The 21361-nt window shown below is 39.0% G+C and overlaps 1 protein-coding gene and 1 long non-coding RNA gene across 24 annotated transcripts in view, besides 2 other annotated features; both read left to right on the top strand.

Moving 5' to 3' along the window:
• Positions 1-2357: 2357 nt before the first annotated feature.
• On the top strand, positions 2358-3597 carry LOC124902442 (uncharacterized). The gene is made up of 2 exons (XR_007062175.1): positions 2358-2686; positions 3359-3597. It is a non-coding gene; the product is annotated as an uncharacterized LOC124902442 (long non-coding RNA).
• Positions 8992-9161: a silencer, noted in NCBI's record as "silent region_2417". NCBI's record gives its function as "represses an Ori minimal core promoter by ATAC-STARR-seq in GM12878 lymphoblastoid cells {active_cell/tissue: GM12878}" and the evidence as "EXISTENCE:reporter gene assay evidence [ECO:0000049][PMID:35858748]".
• Positions 9169-21361, top strand: part of HERC4 (HECT and RLD domain containing E3 ubiquitin protein ligase 4) — a 153379-nt gene continuing 141186 nt past the window's right edge. For 11 of the 23 annotated variants that reach the window (NM_001278186.2, XM_047424999.1, XM_017016041.3 and 8 more), the window contains exons 1-3: positions 9169-9308; positions 10766-10795; positions 11266-11569. Coding sequence is in view for 22 of the 23 variants with exons in the window: in XM_047424999.1 (XP_047280955.1) it covers positions 11344-11569 (226 nt within the window). In the remaining variant the exon portion in view is untranslated. Of the gene's footprint in view, positions 11570-13852; positions 16764-17234; positions 17368-21361 lie in introns of those variants that run through there. The other 12 variants (XM_047425000.1, XM_047424992.1, XM_024447927.2 and 9 more) reach the window with 6 other exon arrangements.
• Positions 9522-9721: a silencer, noted in NCBI's record as "silent region_2416". NCBI's record gives its function as "represses an Ori minimal core promoter by ATAC-STARR-seq in GM12878 lymphoblastoid cells {active_cell/tissue: GM12878}" and the evidence as "EXISTENCE:reporter gene assay evidence [ECO:0000049][PMID:35858748]".

The following is a 21361-nucleotide window of genomic DNA, read 5'->3' as shown; positions in this document are numbered from 1 at the left end:
AGGATTTCTATTTTATTGTCAACACTATCAGAGCTTGTGAATGGGAGCAGTTTGAAAGCTGCTCTTTGGAAGTTAGCTTGCTGGGTAATGCTTCCTTTTAGAGATTGAATAGATGAAGTTGTTTGTTGGAAGTGAACAGCACACAACACTTCAATTCACTTCTTAAGATCCTATTTTACAAAGAGTAATTTTTGTTTGGCTTTTTTTAAAAAAAAAAAGTAGGTAAAACAGCAGCTTGAATTACATGGCATTTTTCTTGGGCAAACATTTCTGTCATTTCAATATGGTTAAACTCTATTTAGGCAATGTGGAGGTGGCAACTATAATTTGTCTTCTAGGAACACTCTGTCCTTCCTAGTCACTACTGCTCAACTGTTCTGTCAGGCTATCAGATTTTACATCGAGATTTTAAGAACATTTTTCAAACTCTAATGAAAATCTGTCCATAAAAATTGTGGTGTTTTATTTATTTCTGGATGCCAACTATTAGGACAATCTTTTTCATTTTTCTGAAAGAAGCATGAGTAGCAATAGAGATTTTTTTTAAAATTTGCAATCACTGTGCATAAAAGTTACCTGTATGCTAAAGGCAACCAATAATTAGTTCTATAAACATAAGAAGTACACTAAACTTAAGGAAATTAGGGGCAGGGAGGGTTAAAAAGCTTTTTCATCTCCTTACTTTTGTAGTTCTCCGTGCTGCTTTCATAAAAATTGTAATGCTTAGTTAAGATATGAAATGTACTGTCAGTTCCCATTATAAAAGTGATAATCAAATGAGATGCTTAGCAAGGCTTTTTCTTTTATAACATTGCTTTGAAAGTTATTAATAAGGGATTCAATAGATGAAGATATCCATGCTCTGGCTAATTGTTATCCAAAGCAGCAGTACTGTTAATTCAACACAGATCTGTAGTTACAATTAGTTTTAGTCCTAATTTTATTTAAGGGCAGTGAGGCATGCAATCTAAAAATATACATATTCTTCCCAAATTTATATTTCTGACAGTTATATTACAACTTTCAACCTCAAATATCTTTATAGGACCCTTTGAAATCAGTAGCAACAAAATAGTTCAATTTGCTACTCGAAAGTATGACTGATAAGCTCTAACAGTTGAGATTCCTTCTTTGCTAGTCTCTGCTATTGCTATGTTCTGTTTTCTTTAAAAGAAGACCCATGGATTTAAAGGAATCATATAAGTATAAATTCTACACTTTCATATTGTATTACTTTGGTGATGCTGACTATTAACTAGAACTCACAGAATCCTCATTTTAGGACTGCTGTGGTTTAAAGCTAATTTTAAAGCACAGCTTATCATGTAGTTAAGTCTTTGATTCTAAACACAAATTTTATTTTTTACTGCCACAAAAAGCAGGGCAGTTTGAGAGCTTTCTCTGTTAAGAAAAAGTAGTAACTGAAGTAATCACATTATAATTTCAAATGTATGAACACATCCCCACATACTGGTGAAGGGCTACATTACATGTGATTTTTCACATTTATTCCTGTTTGAATGCCATTTGAATTTTGAATTCCTATAATTAGGCGATGGAAGACAAACATAAAGAAATCACACAGAGTTATAAAAGGAGAACATTTAAAAATATTTCTGGTATTTATGATGCAAACAGTACTACTATTTCACACTGGGATACCAAGGAGGGAATTGAAGCCAGAATGTAAATTTGGAGCCAGAATGGATGTCGGGATAATCGTGAGGGTGAAAGTAGAGAAGTCCTATAATAAATAACCTGGAATTATTATTCTTCATGTGTAGATTAAGTGGCATATTCTGTGACATACAATATTCTCAATAAAATTGTTTTGCTTGCATCCATTAGAAAGAAGGGCCACATTTTCCTGTCTGCTGTCTCATTTATGTGGCAGGAGTGAGTTATTTCTCCTATCTTACTCTTTTCTGGAACAGGCTCATACCTACCTAAGATAACAGAAAAAGGACTTTTTTTTTTTTTTCTTTGAGACAGAGTCTCTCTCTGTTGCCCAGGCTGGAGTACAATGGCACAATCTCGGCTCACTGCAACCTCCGCCCCCCAGGTTCAATCAATTCTCCTGCCTCAGCCTCCCAAGTAGCTGTGATTACAGGCGCCCACCACCATGCCCAGCTAATTTTTCTATTTTTAGTAGAGACGAGGTTTCACCATGTTGGCCAGGCTGGTCTCAAACTCCTGACCTCAGGTGATTTGCCTGCTTTGGCCTCCCAAAGGGCTGGGATTACAAGCGTGAGCCGCCGCACCCAGCCTCAAAAGGACTTTTTATAATGCAATTCAGAAGAAAAAAAGAAATGGCTATGGGCTGAATTGTGTTACACCACTCAATCCGCCACCCCTGAATTCATATGTTAAGTCCTAACCCCCAGTACCTCAGAATGTGACTGTATTTGGAGTTAGATTCTTTAACGAGGTAATAAGGTAAAATGAGGTCATATGGGTGGGACCTAATCCAATGTGACTTTATAAGAAGAGGAGTCTAAGACACAGTCTGTAATATGCAAATAGAAGAAAGCAAGAAAGAACTATAAGATGTGCAAGAACAACGAAAAGGTGAATGGGAAAACAGACTTTAGGGCAGGAAGAACTGTGGTGTCAATGACAGGAAAATGAACATGCACTCAGCAAATGTCCAGAATCCCAGGCTAATGAGATTATTTGCAGGCAGAAGGTACATAGATAATGTTGGTCTTTATCTCTTCTGAAATAATGTTTTCAAAATATATGTTACCCTATAAATCACCAGTTTTTCTTTAGGGTAATTGAGAGGTAGGTGCAAGTCACATTAAGTTTTCAGAAAATTAAGATAATAGAACAGTAGTGGGTTGAATAGAGCTCCCCCAAAATTCATGTCCATCTGAAACTTCAGAATGTGATTTTATTTCAAAAATACAGTCATGCACTGCATAATGATATGTCAGTCAACAACAGTCCACATATAGGATGGTGTGGTCCCATGAGATTATAATAGCATATTTTTACTGTACCTTTTCTATGTTTAGATACACAAACACTTAGTGTATGATACAATTATGTTACAGTTGCCTGTGGTACTCAGTATAGTAACATGCTGTACAGGTTTGTAGCCAAGGAGCAAAAGGCCATACCATATAACCTAGGTGTTTAGTAGGCTACACCATCTAGGTTTGTGTAAGTCCACTCTATGTTGTTTACACAATGACAAAATTGCCTAACAATGCATTTTTTAGACAATATCCCATCATTAAGGGACGCATGACTGTAATGCCTTTGCAGATGTCATCAAATTATGGCTCTGGAGATGTAAATAAGTTATAGATCTGATTAGGTGGGCCCTAAATTCAATGACCGGTGTTCTTAAAAGGGAAAGGAAAGAGGAAAGAAAGGAGCGATCACAGAGGAAGGGAAGGAGGCCACGTGAAGATGGAGGTTGAGATTGGAGTTACACTGCCATAAGCCAAGGAATGACGGGAGCCACCAAAAGCTAGAAAAGGCAAGGAAGGATTCTTCCTAAAGCCTTTGGAGGGAATGTAGCACTCCTAACACCTTGATTTTAGAATTCTTACCTCCAAAACCATGAGAGAATAAAGTCTGTTGTTTTAAGTCACCGAGTTTGTGGTAATTTGTTACAGCAGCCCTAGGAAATTAAATACAAGGATCAAAAGAAAACTGAGGGGTAATCTTTTAGTGGCACAAATGAACTCAAATTGGCATTCCCACATACATAGTTCTAAAATGTCTGACACCTCTAAAAGCAATGCTTACCAAAACAGAAACTTCTAATTCACTTAAAGGAGTCAAATAATTCAGCATTTAACTCATAAGATCCTCCTGACACTCAATATTTTACAAATTTCATAGAATTACAACCTTGACTTAAACTATATATAAATGTGAATATATACTTTGCAAATAAAAGAAAAATTTGATTCATTTGAAGTTCTGTATTTACTTTTAGATTAATGATATAATTATGCATATTTACACTTTCAACCTCTTCTATTTTTGAAGCAAGTAAGATTTCTCTTATCCACAACTTTTTAAGCCATAAGTTAAATATTTATAGAAATTTGGAAAATAGAGAAAAGAATTGCTTCAAATTTCAACACTCTAACACAATTTGCAGTATTTTGGTATATTTCTTTTCCATCTTTTAAAAACATGGCTACAAGCAAGAAACATACAATTTTGTATTCTACTTTTAAAAGAACCTTATGATTGTATCATGTAAATTTTGCAGCAACAGTCTTTCAAATCGTAATTTTACCAGCCACATATCAATACCCATTTTCCCATGTTGGAACTTAGGTTGCTTTTATGTTTTTATTTTTTATTTTTTTTAATATGGAACTTAGGCTGCTTTTAATTTTTTTTATTTTTTATGTTTTGTTTTTTGAGATGGAGTTTTGCTCTTGTCACCCAGGCTGGAGTGCAATGGTGCGAACTCGGCTCACTGCATCCTCTGCCTCCTGGGTTCAAGTGATTCTCCTGCCTCAACCTCCCGAGTAGTTGGGATTACAGGTGCGCACCACCAAGCCCAGATAATTTTTGCATTTTTAGTAGAGATGGGGTTTCACCATGTTGGCCAGGCTGGTCTTAAACTCCTGACCTCAGGTGATCCACCTGCCTGGGCCTCTCAAAGTGCTAGGATTACATGCATGGGCCACCACGCCTGGCTGGCTGCTTTTAATTTTTGCTATGGGAAATAACACTGCAATAAAAATCTTGTTCATACTTTCATTCACCCACCCCCATGTTTCTATCTATCCTGCTAGACTTGGGAGGGTGTGACATAGTAGGTGCTCAATAAACATTTGTTGAATGCATCTTGTATTTCCTTAGGACAGAATCCAGAAGTAATATTGTACAGGTAAATGGTTTAGGGCAATGTCTCACAATAAATATTGCTATTATTATGAACTATTAAATGAAATTTACTGGCTCTTGAAATATATTGCCAAATTTATTTATTAAAAGGTTGTGATAATTTACAATGCTGCCAGCACCATTAATTAATTAATTCAAGAAGTGGTTTTTTTTTTGTTTGTTTTGTTTTTTAGAGACAGGGTCTCTTACTCTGTTGCCCAGGCTGGAGTGCAGTGGCACAATCTCCGCTCACTGCAACCTTTGTCTCCTCGACTCAAGCAATCTTCCCACTTCAGCCTCCCGAGTAGCTGTGACCACAGGTTCACACCACCCCATCCAGCTAATTTTTGTCTTTTTCGTGGAGACGTGGTTTCACCATTGTTGCCAGGCTGGTCACGAACTCCTGAGCCCAAAGCAATCTGCCTGCCTCGGCCTCCCAAAGGGCTGGGATTACAGGTCTGACCCACTGCACCCAGCCTCAGGAGTATATTTTTAGCACTTGCCGTGGGCCAGGAACTGTTCAAGATCCCGGGGGATAGAGCACGGAGCAAAACAGACAAAATCACTGCCTTTATGAGTTTTCATTCTAATGGAGGAGGTGAAGTTAAATATCTATTTAAGTAATATGTAAATAGATTGTATATAATTGCTTATCCATTTTCTTAGTTATATATTTTTTATATAAGCATAATACATATTTATGAATTATATATTAAAATGTCAGTTTGTTATAATGGATATGAAGGAAAAGCAAGCAGGATAAGATGATAGGGAGAGAGGGGTGGTTTTTTGGATAGGCTGATCAGGGAAGTCTGTAGAGGTGACATGAGTAGAGACCTGAATGAAGAAAATGAGGTGAGATCCAGCAGGAGCAGTATGGCTGGAAGGAAGGGAGAAAGAGAAAGAGTGGAAGAAGAATGAATACTATTTTTAGATGTCTCTCAACAGTCTGAGCATTATTTTTTTTAAATAAAAATAGGTAAAAAAAATACTTTACTCTGTTATGAATTAATATTATTTTCTTTCTGGTCATATGGACTGCATTCCCTTACTAGTAATTCAGGAGAAATAATACTAGTAATAGTAAAAGCTAACATTTACAAAACTCCTGCCACATACAAGGCACTGTATGTGTCATTTTACTGGCTTCACAACAGCCCAGTGAGATATGGATTATGAACATAATTATAAAAATTATGGCTGAGATGTAATATTCTGTAAAACAGATCATTAGTAAATGCCCTTGTGTTTGGGGGGATAGAAGGACAGAGGTCTGAGGTAAGCTTATAGGGTTTAGGCTCTGAATTCAGATAAACCAGCACCAGAGATCATACTCACCAATATCTCATGCTGCATTTATACAACAAATTTACATTATTCTAATAACCCTAGGATCCCATACTTGTTTCATCTTAAAGATAATCACATGCTACTTTCTAAAACCTTGCACCATGGTTTCACAGATTTGTAAGGTTAAAAGGAACATGCAAAAATGTCCATTCCACTTTCTACAAGCAAGATCTATCTTTAAAAATATTCCAGATAGATATATATCCAGGTGGAATAGACAGCTGTCCACCAATTCATGCTCTCCCTTCCACAGCATGAAGTAGTACTTGGGAACTCAGGGACTATGCTTCCCAGCACCCTTGTTTCTACGGGCAGAGTTCTGTTTTGTGTATAGTAGTGCTATGTGGCATTTCCCAAACAAGGATTTTAAGAAGCTCACCCTCCCTCCATCTTCTCAGGTCCCTGGAGATCAGTTTTCACTCATTAGGAACACTTATTTGGACTGCTAAAAAGGTTAAAAAATACACTTATATTAAGCCACTCATTTTAATTTTTATGTATTATAGCATCAATTGTATATCTTAAAGATCCTGAATTCCATAACTTCCCTTTTAATGATATATTCTGAGGCAACAAGCCCTTAAGGGTAAAAGACCACAAACAAAAATCCTACAAGAGGCCTGGCGCGGTGGCTCACACCTGTAGTCCCAGCACTCTGGGAGGCCAAGGTGGGTGGATTACTAGAGCCCAGGAGTTGTAGATTACCCTGGGCAACATGGCAAGACCCTGTCTCTACAAAAAATACAAAAATTGGCAGAGCGTGGTGGCATGTGTTCTGTAGTCCCAGCTACTCAGGAGGCTGAGATGAGAGGATCCCTTGAGCCTGGGAGGTGTAGATTGCAGTGAGCCGAGATGAGCAGAGCAAGATGATGTCTCAAAAAAAAAAAAAAAAAAAAAAAAAGCCAACAAGAGCAATGAAACTCTCAAAATATGAGTATTTTTTGTGAACATTCCTACCATTTCTCATGTTGAAATTATGCTTTCCTTGCTTAAGCATCTTGTCATTCTACATTCATTTCTGTAACATACTGTTGTGGGTTAAATTTGATCCCTCAAAAGATAAGCTGAAGTCCTAACCTCCAGTACCTGTGAATGTGAACTTTTTTTTTTTTTTGAGATGGAGTTTTGCTCTTGTTGCCCAGGCTGGAGTGCAATGGCGCGCTCTAGGCTCACCGCAAAACCTCCGTCTCCCAGGTTCAAGCAATTCTCCTGCCTCAGCCTCCTGAGGAGATGGGATTACAGGAATGCACCACCACGCCCGGCTAATTTTGTATTTTTTCAGTAGAGACAGGGTTTCTGCATGTTGGTCAGGCTGGTCTCGAACTCCCGACCTCAGGTGATCCACCCGCCTCAGCCTCCCAAAGTGCTGGGATTACAGGCGTGAGCCACCGTGCCCGGCCAAATGTGACCTTTAATTGGAAATGAGTTCTTTGCAGATGTAATAAGGTTAAGATGAGGTCATAATGGATCAGGGTAGGCTCTAATCCAATATCTGGTGTCCTTATAAAAGAGGGAAATTTGGACAGACACACAGGGAAAACAAGGTGAAGAGGGATGCTTCTACAAGGATTGCCAAGGATTGTTGGCAACCACCAGAAGCTAGCAGAGAAGCCTGGAAAAGATTATCTCTCAGAGACCCCAAGAGAGAACCAAGCTTACTTTCACCTTGATTTTGAACTGGTCTTCAGAACTGTGAGACAATAAATTTCTGTTGTTTTAAGCCACCGAATCTGTTTTAATTTATATGGCAAGCCTAGGACACGAATACACACACTTGAACATATTCTAGCACAGACAGTTCTTATCTAAAACATGTTTTTCAACAAGAGATAAAGAAACAGGCCAGGACCGGTGGCTCACGCCTGTAATTCCAGCACTTTGGGAGGCCGAGGCGGGTGGATCGCCTGAGGTAACGAGTTTGAGACCAGCCTGGCCAATATGGCGAAACCTTGTCTCTACTAAAAATGCAAAAATTAGCCGGGCATGGCGGCGCATGCCCGTTGTCCCAGCTACTCAGGAGGCTAAGGCGGAAGTTCCAGTGAACTGAGATCGCACCATTGCACTCCAGCCTTGGGGAACAGAGCGAGACTCTGTCTCAATAAATAAATAAATAAATAAATAAATAAAAATAAGAAAAGAAAAAGAAAGATGGCCTATTTGTGGAACTTCTTCTAGGTACTGAATATTCATTCTAGCAATACCCAACTTACAATTTCAAAAGTGCATTGTTTCAAGTTCTCCTGCTTTTTAAGAAGTTAAGGCTGGCCTAGGAGATCCAGACTTCGTTTTTATGAATCAGGGACTGCAGCCAATGTGTAATTTTCTCTGATAGAATGAGACCCTGCAATTCAAGCCTATCTTTCAGGGAGAGTGTAGAAAGTGATGGTAGCCAACACTGTACAAGGAAACTGAACTGGTGGTGGTGGTAGTAGAGTAGCTTCAGCCATTGCCATCAACACATCTCACATCCTCAGACTGGCTCCAGTTGAGGCCATGGGATAAAATAACTCTTCACCAGTCTTTATGTTCATAATTGTGATGTTTCATCTGCTACTTTAAAATCTCCTTGGGAAAAGAGAGAGTAAAATAATAAAAAGACTAGCTAGCATCCATGAGCACAAAGACAACCAAACCAAAAAACAAAGTGATTTTCTTCATTAAAAGGCTTTGTGCACGCCGAAGCATTCTCAAAAACAGTTGACATCTTCTTCGTTTGTCTTCGCAAACTCCAACTTTCTGTATTTGGCTTTTCCCTCTTAAAGCAACGCAAAGCGGCACACTGCGCAGGCGCCTGTGGCCAGCCACCCCCCCCCCCCCCCCCCCGGAAGATTCGGCGCAGGCGCCGGTGCCGGGGCCGGGAAGTGGGCGGGCTCGCGCGCGTGCTCTGCGGTTCACTTCCGGCCAGCCCCTCCCCCGCCTCCCTCGCGTGGCCACCTCCCCCTCTGCCTTCTCCTACCCAGTCTCTTCCCCAACTCTCCCCACCCCTGGTGCTCTCCGCCCCGCTTGCCTCCCGTTCTTCCCCGCCCGCTCCATCCGGGTCGCTGACGGCTGTCTCTGGACTGGACAGCAGTGGCGTCCGCTTTTCTCTAAGGAACCCGGTAAAGTTTCCCAGGGGCCGGGGAGGGGAGCAGCGGAGCAGCGGCACAGACGCCGGAGGTGCCCTGGTGATCGTCGCCACTGGCTGACAGAGGAGGGTCCCAGGAGCCGGAGACGTGCTTCAGCGACCGCGCTGCCTTGCTCTCTGGGCAGGGGCCGCCCCCCGTCACCTTGGGCTTCCCCTACCCTGAAGGGCTTGGGCGAGTTGTGGCCCCAGCGGGTTCGGGGGCGTGTGACGGCGTTAGGGAGGGGCAGGCCGGGCTGGGCGGATGCAGGCCGGCCCGGCATAGGGCGCTTTCTCCGCGCTTCCTGGGGGTGAGGGGCGTGGGGCGAGGGCAGGGCTGTGGCTCCCTGGCCCCGGGGCTGGAATGTCTCATCTGCCTGGGGATGGGCTTCTCTCAGGTTGAGGCCGCGCACTGCCAAGCCTCGGCCGCCGGCCTCTGAAGCTGTTGCGAGCGGCCGGTTGCGGTAGTCGTCTGCTTGGCTGCGAGGTTGGGTGTGTGCAGATGATTTCTCTTTCCCAGTCCCCATGAGCTGATCTGGGTGCACGTTCAGGGAAAGACGGGACTAAACTGCTTCTCATTTCCCTACCTGTTGCTGGCGAGAGGACGCCTCTGTGTTTTAAAGAAAAGGGTGGTTAAACCTCGCGCGCTGAAGTCGGGGTATTTTCCTGTATTACTCTTATTTTGTTTTTAAATATGGGAAGACAATGCAGAACTCTTGGGAATTATCGAGTTCTGATACCCCAAAAGAATGAAATCAAACTTCTGTTAATGGGATGATGGGTCGTGGAATGGGACACCTTGGGCACTTGCTAACAGGAACATAGGAAAATTGGAGTTGAAACTTCGCAGGCTCTGTAAGAATGTGGATGACTGCTACAGAATAAGGCTGACTTCCTGTAATTATGATATTTAGTAACGCGATGTGTTTAAAAGTCTACGTATGTATAGATGAAGTGGACTCTGTTATTTGTGTCTTTCTTTACAAGTGAGGAAATATTCAGTCAGTGTGCTGGAAAGTTCTACAGATTTCGCCATCAGACTATCCATTCCTATTCTTGAAAAATCTGCAGTGCTGGAGTTATTTGCAATTCCCCCCCGCCAATCTTTAAATAATTGTCTCAGAGATATAGATAGATATAGATTGCCCACGGGTGATTTTTTTAATCCCGGTTACCACTTGTAATAAAAGAGGTTGAATTTTGGAGAGAATTGATATTTAAATTGCATGTTTTTTTTTCTGTATTATAATTATGCACATTGATTTAGTTTTAAAATTAGTGAGGTTGGAATGTTAGTATTTTGATTTGAAATCTGGGATCTTTGGAGGTGATTTAAGATTATGGTTTGGTAAGAGAATCTTCATTTTCTCTCTGGGCTAAAGAGTAATTGGGAGAGTCGTTTAAATTGTGGAAAATTGCTTTAAATTTCCATTATTGGTTTTATTTCTGTTACAGATAAGAACTCCATTTTCTGTTGATGTGGAGGTAGGTATTAGAAAGCTTAATTATACTAGGATTGCAAGGTTATGTTTCTGCAGTTGGCTAAATTTTGCACTGTGTATATTTGCTTTTTGGGCAGAGGAAAGATGTCTTATTTCTTGTTCCCATTGAAATTATTTAAAGCAAAAAGTAGAAAAAATTGTGATTAATTTCATCAAGGTACTTATTCCTATTAGTTTAGTCTATCACAAGATAACCAGAAGTCAAAACTAGTTAATATGTTTTAAATTTTGCAAAGGATCATAGAAAGTGTCATATTTTCCCTAAAAATTTCTGTATGATACATTTTAAAAAATACAACTGATTGGTTTTTGAAACTGAATGATACTTATGTAGCATGTTATAAAGTATATTTAATGTTTACCATGTAGCAATTATTGTAGCCTAGCACTTGAAAGAGCAATTATACATCCTTTTTTCTTTGAAGTCATATTAACTTCTTTCTATTTCCTCAGACATAGGGTACCTCCAACTTTCCGGGGTTTCAGAAGAGAATTTTTTATTGAAACTGGAAGACCAAAATAATTACAAGCATGTTGTGCTGGGGAAATGCATCCTTTGGGCAGCTAGGTTTGGGTGGAATTGATGAAGAAATTGTACTAGAGCCCAGAAAAAGTGACTTCTTTATAAATAAAAGGGTCCGAGATGTAGGATGTGGACTCAGACATACTGTGTTTGTTCTGGATGATGGAACAGTGTACACATGTGGATGTAATGATCTAGGACAGCTAGGTCATGAAAAATCCAGAAAGAAACCAGGTAAGTTGAAATGTTTTTAAAATTTGCTATTTTTAATAATTATATCATTTTAAATTTGAATCATCGTATAATTTCTCTAGTTGTAACTATATGTTTATCAAGCTTTAAAAGCAAAGTAGAAGTTATGTATTTCCATTATATGTGTATATTTGTATGGTTCTAAGTACTTTATGTTGTGGTTTCTTTTTTTTTACTACTAGTATTATAAAACCTTATTTTGTATGACGATATAAAACAATAAAGAAAATCAGCCTGCAGTATATAAATCTTTGGTACAGAGTGTGTAGTGTGCAGGTCCTCTTTAATAAATTCTGTTCAGCCACCCTGGATAGATTTTAAATGCATAATTTACTCTGTGTTTACCTTACTTTGGGAGGGGGGAGGAAAACAAGACGGAAGCTTTTTACTTTGACTTGCTTGCCTAAAATATATTTTTATTCTTTTTATCCCTCTGTCATAGTATTTTAAATATGTAATTTTATTTGATTTAGTTAGAAATATCTTTTATTCCTCTCATCTTCTACTTTCTGTAGCATTGCTAGCTATTAAAGATTTTGTGACTATGAAGTGTCCTGATTTTGTAGTAGTTGTACAAGCAAATTAAATAATTTGTAGGGTAATGAGAATTTTGAGGAATTTGGTCACATTTCATGTTCTGTTCCTGGATATTGTATTTTAAAATCAAATATTTCTACATTTAGGAGTATCATTGTTATGTGAGTTTTGCTTTCAATTATGATAACTAAAAGTTAATGATTTCAGGTGGTAAATTCAGATGAGACTGCAGCTATACTGACTTACTGTTTATTTTAACTGTAACAATAATGGCACTTCAGTATTTTCTGTGGCAGTTATTTTATCAGTTTATTAATTAGGTGGTTTCTGTTGTTACTCAGCTTTTGAGAGATTAATGTAATCTAAGATATTCAGGCATTAAATTAAGGCACGATTCATCCTTCACATCATCTCACGACCATGCCAAATCTCACTTTTCTAACTTGCAAATACTGTATCGTTTTCATCCTTTCTTTGTGGTTAAGGTCTTAGTGTATTTTCTTCTGCCTTAATTTGTAATTTATTTTTTATTGGATAAATGATAGTGACATTCATAAAATAGATTTTTAATTCTTGCAGAACTCAAAGTAAATGGCAGCTTTCTTGTACTCTACCTGTCTAAGAACATTTTATGGATTCCTACCAGATTTTCATGATCTCAGGCATTGAGGTGGTCATATTGGTAGAAATGAATGGTAATTTACTGATACGCATTTGATGATTGTCTCTGCTCCAGAGACAAATGGGCCCTTTACTATTTTTGCTTAGCTTGGAATGCTGCCTCAGGTTGAGATTTTCATGGTACGGAGGCTACTGCTGTTCTTTGTACTTTAGCATGCCCCATAGAAATAACTGAACATCTCTCTGTATTACTTTAATAATTTCTGAAAGGCCATAGGGCAAGTAGAAAGTAAAAAGCCAGCACATAGAAATTGCCAGTATAGTTACTTAGGTCTACTGAGGTTTAAAATGTTTAAGTGTTAGAGGTAGACACTGTGTACTAGTAGTATAATGATTATAGTGCCAGGAACAGCCTCCAACTGTATAGATGAGATTCTGAGAAACTTAACTAGCTAGAATAGGCTTCTTTGTGGTCATGTTGACATTGTGATGATTGCACTGTGACATCTATATCATCTTGATTCATCCTGGAACCATTATTTGGTAATGTAAAGTTGGGGCAGTGGGTTTCCCTAATTTGGGATACCTCTTTAGGATTGCCTCATTGTTGTCCCGATTACACCACAGCCTGTGGAAGAGAAAAGTGACAGGCATTAGCTTTGTCTTGAGAAATTTAGAGTCTGGGTTGGGAGTTAAGGTATACATGAACAACTGGAGAGAACTGGAAATTAGACATGATGTGCCATGCACTTTGAGCCTAGGACATTTAAATGATGGGAAATATTATGGGATAGAATTAAAGTAAGATTTCTGGGAGAAAATGAAGGCTTACATTTAATTCTATTGGTGATCACATAAACAGCTAGGAAATAAGTCTGGAGCTGAAATAGTTTTGTAGAAGGGGGGGGTCCTGATCCTGAGAAAAGCTTTTTATTATCAGAAGTTCTGGTTCGATGATATATTGAAGTGAACCTAGGTTTCAGAGGGAAGAGAAACAAGTTCAAAAAGTAGTAGTTGCTGTGATAGGAACTTCATCTTTTAATCTCAGCTTTGATTGAATATTTATTTATTTATTTATTTTTATTTTTATTTTTTTTTTTGAGACAGAGTTTCGCTCTTGTTTCCCAGGCCGGAGTGCAATGGCGCCATCTCGGCTCACCGCAACCTCTGCCTCCCAGGTTCAAGCAATTCTCCTGCCTCAGCCTCCCGAATAGCTGGGATTACAGGCGCCCACCACAATGCCTGGCTACTTTTCATATTTTAATGGAGATGGGGTTTTACCATGTTGGCCAGGCTGGTCTCGAACTCCTGACCTCAGGTGATCCGCCTGCCTTGGCCTCCCGAAGTGCTGGAATTACAGGCATGAGCCACTGCTCCTGGCCTAAGATGTTTTTTAAATAATGTTTTTAACTAAATTTTAAGAATGTTTTTAACTAAAGTTATTTATATTTGGAATAATTCGTTAATGATTTGTGTCATTTCCCCAACCCCTTTTTAAATTTGTGAATTTGAGGACTGGATTAAAAGATAAAAAGTTGTTGGATCTTATTTATTTTAAAGTCTTCTGGTAATTGAGCAAGTTGGTTATATTTCTGGGACAATGTAATAAACATAGTTCATTTCCCAGGAGGTTTTTGTTTTGTTTTGTTTTGTTTCGTTTTGTTTGAGACAGAGTCTCACTCTGTTGCCCAGGCTGGAATGCAGTGGCACGATCTCTGCTCACTGCAACCTCCGCCTCCCAGGTTCAAGCGATTCTCCTGCCTCGGCCTCCCGAGTAGGTGGGACTATAGGGGCGTGCCACCATGCCCGGGTAATTTTTTATATTTTTAGTAGGGACGGGGTTTCACCGTGTTAGCCAGGATGGTCTTGATATCCTGACCTTGTGATCTGCCCGCCTTGGCCTCCCAGAGTGCTGGGATTACAGGCGTGAGCCACCGTGCCCAGCTGACTTCACAAGAACTTTAAACTTGTGTCAGAAAGCACATGGAATGGAGGGAACTAAGAATTGTTTCTTTACATAGGTTGGCTTTATAAATATACATATTCCATAACTAATAAGGAATGAAGGAGAAAGAGGTAGCCTTATTAAGGATAAATTATTCTCGAGATTCATAATAACCTACTGGAGGACTTGGCCTGACAATGTAGTGAATAGATTTAACCTGTGGCCTATTGAAAAGAGGTGTTTCTGTTCTGGACTTTTTAGGGACCACACAGAAAGATTTAACTGAATTCCTTTATTATACTAAAGGTGCAGATTATGTTCATGTTCATCTCTGTTGTCTTGTATATGTATGTCCTTTTCTATCACTACTGGCTTTTCTGAATTATTTCCAGAGAAGTGAATGTCTGTTTCACTTTCATGTTTTTTTCTTCATAAGAACTTTAAAATACTTTTTAAGCTAATGTCTCAATTTTTAAATTTATAGCTAACAAATATATTTAATCTTCAGTGCGCTAGACCAATCCATTTAAATGAATTGTTGTTTTTTTATACTTTCAAATTCAGTTCTGAAGATTTTAAGTATGGGAAGTATACTTTTCTTTACAAGATCCTTTTCTTACTGTGTATCTAATCATAGGTATAATTTGGTGACCATGGTTATGTTTTGCACATTGATTTCCATTTGTTTCATGTTAGAAACAGTACTAAACTGTTCTGTGACCATAATTTGTAAATAAAGTGGTGTTCTGTTTAAAAACAAGCCCTGTTATCTAAAAAACAGTTTTTTGTGTTTTACAACATTCTTTCAAATGGAGTATCTCATTTAATTCTCACAACAGTTGTATGTAGCTAAGGCAGGTATCATGGTCCGCATTTTACAGATGAGGACACTGAGGTTAAAAGAGATTAAGAGACTAATAGGGTCACTTGGCTAGCACATCTTGAGACCACCCTAAATCTTGTGGTTTTTATCCTTAATCTCACAAATCTTTTCCTTTGCTACATTTAGAAGGTAAAAGAATATTTGTTCACCTTTGAGGAAGCTGGTTTCCATCAGTATTTTATTGTAATTCTGAGGGTTTTTTATTTTTTATATTTTTTTGAGATGGGGTCTTATTCTGTTGCTTAGGGTAGAGTGCAGTGGCGTGATAATAGCTCACTGTAGCCTTGGACTCCTGGGCTCAAGTGATCCTCCTGCCTCAGCTTCCCCAGTAGTTGGGACTACACTTATGTGCCACCATGCCTGGCTAATTTTTTTTTTTTTTTTTTTTTTTTGAAACGGAGTCTTGCTCTGTTACCCAGGCTGGCGTGCAGTGGTGTGATCTCTGCTCACTGCAGCCTCCACCTCCCAGGTTCAAGTGATTCTCCTGTCTCAGCCTCCCGAGTAGCTGGGACTACAGGTGTGTGCCACCACACCTGGCTAATTTTTTTGTAGTTTTAGTAGAGACAGGGTTTCACCATGTTGGCCAGGGGGGTCTCGAACTCCTGACCTCAGGTGATCTGCCCACCTCGGTCTCCCAAAGTGCTGGGATTACAGGCATGAGCCACCAGGCCTGGCCAATTTTTTTATGTTTGTTAGAGAAGGGGGTCTCCCTATGTTGCCCAGTCTGGTCTCAAACTCCAGTCCTCAAGCTATCCTCCTGTCCTGGCTTCCCCAAATTGCTGGGATTTATAGGGATGAGCTACTGTGGCAGCCAAGAAAAATCTTTAAAAAATTACTATCTTATAACTAAGCTTATACAATGAAGACAGCATATTTTATTGTCTTCCCCCTTGTACACAAACTTAAAAATCATTTTAAGAACTGATAAGAAGATCGAGAGTTCTATTTTCAAGATGTAATATTGTACCAACAAAAGCTAAAAAATTCAAATATGTATAGTGTATTACTGAATGGAAGACTAACTCGATTGGCAGAGTTTATAGGTAATAGTTTTAATAGTATGATAAAATTTATTGTGGTTTATGTTGAACTCTTTTTAAAGATGATGAGCATTGATTCTTTGTTTTCCATATCCTCGAATGGTAATTTCTACTGTTGAGTCATTCCAATAAAAGCATTTTGGTCACATAGTAGTGATTACTTGGCTTGCCTTTCTTGCTTCTTCATTTTTCTGACCTGTTCTCTCTGTTCATAAAACAAATTTATAAACGAGCTGCTCCTTAAAATATAGTTGAAATTTAAAAAGTAATATAGGAAAATATAACTATGGGAAATAAAGTTACTCACTTAAGGGTGGGTTAAAAATAAAAATACCAGATTATCCCACACATTTCTTACTGAACCAGAACATTTAAACCAAAGAAGCTCATTGCGTTTTATAACTCCCGGTTTTCACAATACCTTCTAAGGAAGAGAAAGATGTGGATGATAGATTTGAAAAAAGTAATTACTTGGGTCAGGAGTGGAGGCTTGCTTTGAACGCTTTACTTTGAGAAAGGTTAGTGCCCAAGAATCACAGTGTCAAGGGTAGGAAAAAAAATCATAATGCAAACAGATGACTACCGTTAGAGAAATGTATAATAATACTTTACTTTGTGTAGGACCCTACATCTGAGGAATTTCAAGAGCATTACACAATAACTCATGGTTCCTTTCAAAATGCTTGTGACACAATTTGCAAGAATTATCCTCATCTTAGGGGATAAATTTACGGAGAAATGGCAGCACACGTTGGTAAGTAACTTGTCAAAATAGCAGATGACTGGTGAACAGCTATAAGTTGAATCTGAAAGTTAGAGTCTACCAGTCTCCTACCTTATTCACTAAATTGTGCTTATGTTTAGAATTATTTACAGTAATATCTTCTGTTTGAGGCAGGTCAAATACTAGTGCACAGATTGTTTCCCTGCCATTCGATTTGATGGCCTGTTAAATCATTATTTTACCAAGATGCTTACATTCTGATACCACTTTGATACTTCAGTATAACTCTGTGTGGTATGAAGAATATTTGAACAAACGAACAGAAACTTAACTATGGTAATGCCCAGTCTTTTCTCTTTTCTGTTATATATTGTATATATCCCCTTGTCTAACTGCTATGCTGTACTACAAGCCAAGGTCCATAGTAACTGACTTGCAGAATTGATTTGGTGGCTAACCTTGGAACTTGGATTAGTTATGTTGTATAAAGTCCGCCATGTAGATACATGCATCTCTCTCTAAGATGCATTGGTTTGGTGGATGCTTTATAAAACTCTTAAAACCTACACAGAAGACAAAAATAGCAGTAGATGCCTAATCTGAGCAGTCTAACAAAGGGAAACTTCTTTAAAGTACTTGGAACCAGTGATTTTCTCTTGGGTATGTTAGTGTTTTTACATGATTAGAAGTGAGCCACATACTTTCCTTAAAAGATCAGCAGTGTGGTAGATTTGGTTTTACAATTTGGGTACTTAGCAGATTCTTGTTGCAGATGGCAGTCTAGGTAGTCTAGTTACCATTATCTCCTTAGTAAAGATTCTTAGGTTCTGTATTCCCAATATATCATACAAATGTAGCACTGTTTTTAAAGCTCATTTCTCACAAAGGCATGTATTTTTAAAACTGCTTTGAAGACACAAAAGTTACTTCTGTATTCCTAGGCTATAAAGTATATCAAGTGCTTGGGATATGTATGAAAGAATCTAATAGAGGAGGTGTACTCAAATGTTTATATAAGAGTTTATTTGGGCTTGGATAATGTTAGTAGAAAAATGGGTAACACTAATGAGGAAACTATATTAATGAGCTCATGGTTGACCTTCTTTCTGTTCCCCTGGATTTTTTTTTTTCATTTTGATGAAATTTAAAAGGCAATAATTAATTTTAAATTGTAATGAGTTATGATAATTACCTTATATGCGAGAAAAACCTATGCTGTGTGTAATTATACAGACATTTTATTGGAGTTTTGTTTTGTTTTTTTAGACAGGATCTTGTTGTCACTGGAGTACAGTGGTTAAATCGTGGCTCAATGCAGCCTCGACTTCCCTGGGTTCAGGAATCCTCTTATCTCAGCCTGCTGAGTAGCTGGGACCACATGTGCATGCCACCATGCCCAGCATATTTTTGTATTTTTTATAGAGACAGGGTTCCACTCTTTTGCCCAAGCTGGTCTCGAAGTGATCCTCGCACCTCAGACTCCCAAAGTGCTGGGATTATAGGCATGAACCACCACGCCAGGCCTTATTAGAGTTTGTTTGTTTTTGTTTTAATGGGAAATTTCTTGCATTTCGGTGGCTTATTCTTTAAACCATAAGTTTTATTTGCCTAGATTTACTCTTTTGTGTTCATTTCTAGCATGGCAGAATTTTGGTTTAGCCTTTCTTGGCCATAAGACATTCTGGAATCCTTTAGAATGGGCTTTTCACAAATTATTTGAAAATATATTAATTACTTTTTTATTCATATCTAAGTTTTGCCTCATTTTATTCCTTTGCTAGGTGTTATACTATTCTGAAATAACATATTTTTAGTTTTTCATAATTGTTTTCTATTATAAAAGTATTACATGTTCTTGGTAGAGAATTACTAATACATAGGAAAGTAAAAACTATAATGCCATCATGCATAGGTAAATAGTATTGTCACCTGAGACCTTTTCTATATTCATATATGTTTCTGATTACAAACTGGGAATGTGTTCTTGTATCTCAACTTTTTTCCCCCGATAATAATTTAGCATTTTCCCATGTTTTAAAGTTTTAGGAATATTGGGAATATTTAGGAATATAATTAACATTTCATCATTTAGATGTACCAAAATTTATTTAAGTATTCTATTTTTTGGATTTTTTTTTTTTTTTGAGATGGAGCCTTGCTCTGTCACCCAAGCTGGAGTGCATGGCGCGATCTCCACTCACCCTAGCCTCTGCCTCCTGGATTCAAGCGATTCTCCTGTCTCAGCCTCCTGAGTAGCTGGGATTACAGACGTGTGCCACCACTCCCAGCTAATTTTTTGTATTTTTAGTAGAAACAAGGTTTCACCATTTTGGCCAGGGTGGTCTCAAACTCCTGACCTTGTGATCCACCTGCCTCAGCCTCCCAAAGTGCTGGGATTACAGGTGTGAGCCACCATGCCCAGCCTATTTTTTGGAATTTATTTCCAGATTTTTGTTATAAGTAATACTGCAATGAACATATATATATCAATTTAGTTTTTATGTCTTTTTTTCTTTTTCTTTTTTTCTCTCTCTCTCTTTTTTTTTTTTTTTTTGAGAGAGAATCTCACTCTGTTGCCTATTGTCTAGGCTGGAGTGCAGTGGTGCCATCTTGGCTCACAGCAACCTCCGCCTCCCAGGTTCAGATGATTCTCCTGCTTCAGCTTCCCCAGTAGCTGAGATTGCAGGCATGCACCACCACACTTGGCTAATTTTTGTATTTTTAGTAGAGATGGGGTTTCACCATGATGGCCAGGCTGGTCTTGAACTCCTGACCTCAGGTGATCCATCTGCCACGACATCCCAAATTGCTGGGATTACCTGCCTGAGCCACGGCACCCGGCCTATTTCTTTCTTTTAATTATTTTTTATGTTTTGGGGACAGGGTTTTGTTCTGTCGCCCAGGCTGGAGTGCAGTGGCATGATCTCGGCTCACGGCAACCTCTGCTTCCTGGGCTCAAGCGATTCCCCTCAGCCTCCAGAGTAGCTAGGATTACAGGCGTGTGCCACCATCCCTGGCTAATTTTTGTATTTTTAGTAGAGGTGGAGTTTTGCCATGTTGACCAGGCTGTTCTAGAACTCCTGGCCTCAAGTGATCTGCCCACTTCGCCCTCCCAAAGTGCTGAGATTACAGGCATGAGCTACCATGCCCAGCCTCTGTTTCTTAATTATTATTTGAGACGGAGTTTCGCTCTTGTTGCCCAGGCTGGAGTGCAATGGTGCAGCCTTGGCTCACTGCAGCCTCCACCTCCCAGGTTCAAGTGATTCTCTTGCCTTGGCCTCCTGAGTAGCTGGGATTACAGATGCCCGTCAACATGCCCTGCTAATTTTTTGTATTTTTAGTAGAGACGGGGTTTTGCCATGTTGACCAGGCTGGTCTCAAACTCCTGGCCTCAGGTAATCTGTCCGCCTTGGCCTCCCAAAGTGCTGGGTTTACAGGTGTGAGCCACCACGCCTGACCTACCTCTGTTTATTTATTTAGGAAAAAGAACATCTTTAATTTTAAGGAGTGAGAACTGAATTTATTTTTTAAGCACAGTTGTGTCTCATTTTATGAAGTTTATACACATAAGATATTTGTAAATGAAAGTTTTTAAAATGTATGACAAGGCTGAGTGCGGTGGCTCATGCCTGTAATCACAGCACTTTGGGAGGCTGACACAAGTGGATCACAAGGTCAGGAGTTCAAGACCAGCCTGGCCTGTGTAGTGAGACCCCGTCTCTACTAAAAAACCAGAAAAATTAGCTGGGCATGGTGGTGTGCCTGTAGTCTCAGCTACTCGGGAGGCTGAGGCAGGAGAATTGCTTGAACCTAGGAGGCAGAGGTAGCAGTGAGCTGAGATCATGCCATTGCACTCTAGCCTGGGTTACAGAGCGAGACTCCAACTAAAAAAATAAATAATAAAGTAAATAAATAAAATGTATGACAAGCTTTCTATTACAACATGATGAATATCATTTAATGATCTAGTAGGGAATAGAAAACAAATGCACAAATAATAGAAAGGCAATTAAAATATGCTAAG

This window comes from Homo sapiens, chromosome 10, assembly GCF_000001405.40.
Source record: "Homo sapiens chromosome 10, GRCh38.p14 Primary Assembly".
Taxonomy (NCBI): Eukaryota; Metazoa; Chordata; class Mammalia; order Primates; family Hominidae; genus Homo; species Homo sapiens.
Note: the sequence above shows the minus strand (reverse complement) of the source record. Positions and strands in the feature narration are given on the sequence as shown.